This window comes from Homo sapiens, chromosome 13, assembly GCF_000001405.40.
Source record: "Homo sapiens chromosome 13, GRCh38.p14 Primary Assembly".
Lineage (NCBI taxonomy): Eukaryota > Metazoa > Chordata > Mammalia > Primates > Hominidae > Homo > Homo sapiens.
In genome coordinates, this window is record NC_000013.11 from 109698965 (window position 1) to 109702597 (window position 3633).

Genomic DNA, 3633 nt, shown 5'->3' on the forward strand with positions numbered 1-3633 from the left:
TGTGGTTCTTAGTCATCCTTATCCCAGAAAAGAGTAATTTTTCAGTGTCCATTCTCACTAACTCTGGAATATATTGTATGATTAGCTAACTTTGAACCTCAAATACTTACATTAAAAGTGCAGAAACCATGATGGTTTGAATAGTTTTGTTTTGTGATTTAGAATTCAAGTAGAGCTGGATAATAACTGACAACATAAAATGTGGAATCCACAAAGAGTCAGTATGATTCAAAGTTCACCATTCTAATTCAAATAAAATTTTAAGAATTAAAACTGATGTCCAGCCCAATATAGAAGCTCAAGCAAATTCAAATGGCTGATGGAGGAGCTGGCTTGGCTCCAATTTTTCTATTCCTCAAGTTACTTTTGAGAAAAATAATACATATAAATGAAAACATAACATTACTGGAAAAGAGAAAAATGAAAATAGCCATGGAATAGAAATGTTGAAAGCTTCTTCCCAAGCAAGCCTAGAAAAAGCTCTGAGAGCAAAGTCAAGGAGGCAAAGACCTTGCCATGAGTCAAACATTAGGGCGAGAGCTGGAACGGCTCACTACAGCTCCTACCACCAATCCCCCAAAATAGAGTCGAAAAATGACGGTCGGAGAAATTGTTTCTCCCAAAGACAAAGCCCAAAGACTAGTTTTTAAAGAAAATTAATTTGTCGGTGAACTTACAGGGCCTAAAAGAAGCACAGCAGATCTTCGCCCCGGCAAACCCACAGGGGCGCTGTGGAGTTTCTTCATTTTTGAGAGAAACACAACCTCTTGGACATCCATCAGCCCCTCCATGAAACGTCTGCTCTAGCAAAGCCACCGATCCAAGGCTCAAGAGCGCTACTTTACTTTCCACGAGGCCCTGGCTGGATGTTCAGCAGGTGCTCTGATAAAAAGCAGGCCCCGTATGAAAACCAGCAGGGAACAGAAAACGCAGCAGGGCTCTCCAATCTCATGCCAAGGTAGGTGAGGCTGTGCTGTCCCCAGCAGGCGCGTGCAGCGCTGCTAAGTGATGGGAATTTCAGAGCAAAAGAAAAGATGGGTTGTTTTTTGTTTTGTTTTGTTTTTGTTTGTTTTTTCTTTAAAGGTATATGTATTGGTTTTTCAAACAGTTACTAAGTTGTTAGGGCATGCATAATTATGTCGTTTGGCTCTAACTACTTATACACAGAACTGTTAAGAAGTTGCTCTGGCCTAGGGCCACTGTAAAAAAATTACTGAAACAATGATAGAGACTTGAACCAAGAAAGCGAGGAAGTCTCTGTGCTGTAGTTATCGGCTCTCAGGAAAGAAAAACCCTCCTGGCTTGGCAGCTGGCCCAGGAGGGGCGTGGGCAGGAGGAGGTCCCCAGGCTGCTGGATAGTTCTTCCTGCTGTTGGAGCCTCATCCACAGACACAGGCCTGTAGTTAGCCAGGCAGGGAGGAGGCTGAGCAGGAAACAGATGTGCCTGGCTGCAAAGGAAACCCACAAGCAATCAACCCCATCTTCATTCATAAAAAAGAACCAAATCAAGTGCCACCCAATACAGGAGGCAAATACCAGGGTGGAGGATAATGTGAACAAATAAAACAGCTCACCTGAGAGGAAATAGAAGTAATAATAATAATAAAAATCCAACTTGATACTGAGAGATTAGAGAGGAAATTGCACCCATAAAATTAGAATTAGCTACAATTAGGAGGAGGAGGAGGTAGGGAGGGTAAGGAACAGGGAATAAGAAGATAACAGCACTTACGAAAAAGGAAGAGGTATGGTAAATAAAATTTAACTGACAAAATGAAAATTAAATGGAACTGCCAAGCTGGCTGTCCAGAAGAGGGGCTGTTCCACCATGGAGACCAGGCAGCTAGAGGGTCGAGCCAAAGAAACCTCCCAGATCTAAAAGGAAAAATAAACAGACGAATGAATAAAAACCTAAAAGTCTTGCAAGATATATTCAGGAGGGTCAAACTAATAGAGACTTTTACAAATAGAGAACAAAAATATTAGAAAGAAATACTAGGAGAAATGATTGAAGCCTCTTTTCTGGAGCTGAAGTTCCTTATACAGTGATCCACTGAGGGCTGTGTGTCCACCCACAGGTCCCCTGATAAAACTTATAGACCCCAAAATAAAAGAAAAACTCTAAAAGCTCCCACAACACAGAAGGGGACAACATGCTGTGTAGGAACCAGTGGCTGCCATCAGAAGCTAAGAAGACGCACAAAGGTTGTGAAAAAGGTCCCGCAGATCTTGGCCTTAGGTCACGCTTCGAGTAGTGGGAGTTTTGGTGACAGATAGCGTTTCCCTTGCTACAGGTTTATTTATTCACCTTGTTTCAAAGAGAATAAAATATGCATAATTATAATACCATGTGCTGACGTGGAGGGACATCCATCACATGAAAAACAAGTTGCAAAACAAATGGATAATAGGATCCTACTGAGCTTAAATACACATACACAGGCACAACTAGACAAATAGGCAGATAGATAGATAATAGGTAGGTAGGTAGGTAGAGAGAGAGGAATTTAAAAATATCTAGAATACGTAGCAGACAGCTGAGATTGGGGAGTAGAGGAGGTGAAGATGTTTGCTTTTAATCTTCACCACTTGATACTCTCATTTTTTAACAGAGTATAAATTTCTTTTGAAATTAAAAAAATTATCGTACTTTTAGTGGAATAAAAGCAGCATCAGGCACATAGTAGGTAATTAATCAATATTTGTTAAATGAATGCGTGAATGCAAAATATATGCCTTTCTACCATCAGAAGTATAGCTCTATTCAAACTTTCTTCAGTATCTCCTGTAGCACTGACAAATTAAGTTTTCTGTCTCTTCTTAAGTCATATTTGGTAATATATTTTCCTAGAAATTCATTCATTTCAGCTAGATATCAAAATGGATTATCTCATGGCTGTGGACTGCAACCTCCTTTCCATATTGCTTGTTTTACATAAGAAACACATACATATTTTCTTTTTGAAACCCTGTTATAAAAGTACTCGACAAATTGTATTAGTCAGTTTTCACACTGCTGATAAAGACATACTGGAGACTGGGCAATTTACGGAAGAAAGAGATTTAATGGACTTACAGTTCCACACGGCTGGGGAGGCCTCACAATCATGGCGGAAGATAAAGAGGAGCAAGTCACACCTCGGATGGCAGCAGGCAGAGAGATCGATCTGGTGCAGGAGAACTCCTCTTTATAAAACCATCAGATCTTGTGAGACTTACTCACTATCACGAGAACAGCATGGGAAAGACCTGCCCCCATGATTCAATTACCTCCCACTGGGTCCCTCCCACAACATGTGGGAATTCAAGATGAGATTTGGGTGGGGACACAGCCAAACCATATCACAAATGGTAACTCAATGTAATTTTTTTAACAGCACTATGAGCCGTGGGAATCCAAGGCATGAGACAAGAAGGCTGGACAGCGTTCCTGGATCACACAGCTGAGTACCGGTGAAGTCAACCCAGTGTGCCTCGGCTAAGGGACTGCTCTCACCACTATGCCTCTCCCCAGTGTCCTGAATTCTAATGCTGAATATTTGTATGTTCTCTGCTTTTCTCTTAGCCTTCCAAAGATTTGTCATCAGTAGTATTTAATATCAAAGAATAAAGGTTTGAATTACTATATTTGTT

The 3633-nt window shown here is 40.8% G+C and overlaps 2 annotated features.

Moving 5' to 3' along the window:
* Positions 1158-1452: an enhancer, noted in NCBI's record as "tiled region #15042; K562 Activating DNase unmatched - State 8:EnhW". NCBI's record gives its function as "activates a minimal TATA promoter and a strong SV40 promoter by Sharpr-MPRA in K562 cells {active_cell/tissue: K562}" and the evidence as "EXISTENCE:reporter gene assay evidence [ECO:0000049][PMID:27701403]".
* Positions 1158-1452: a silencer, noted in NCBI's record as "tiled region #15042; HepG2 Repressive non-DNase unmatched - State 23:Low". NCBI's record gives its function as "represses a minimal TATA promoter and a strong SV40 promoter by Sharpr-MPRA in HepG2 cells {active_cell/tissue: HepG2}" and the evidence as "EXISTENCE:reporter gene assay evidence [ECO:0000049][PMID:27701403]".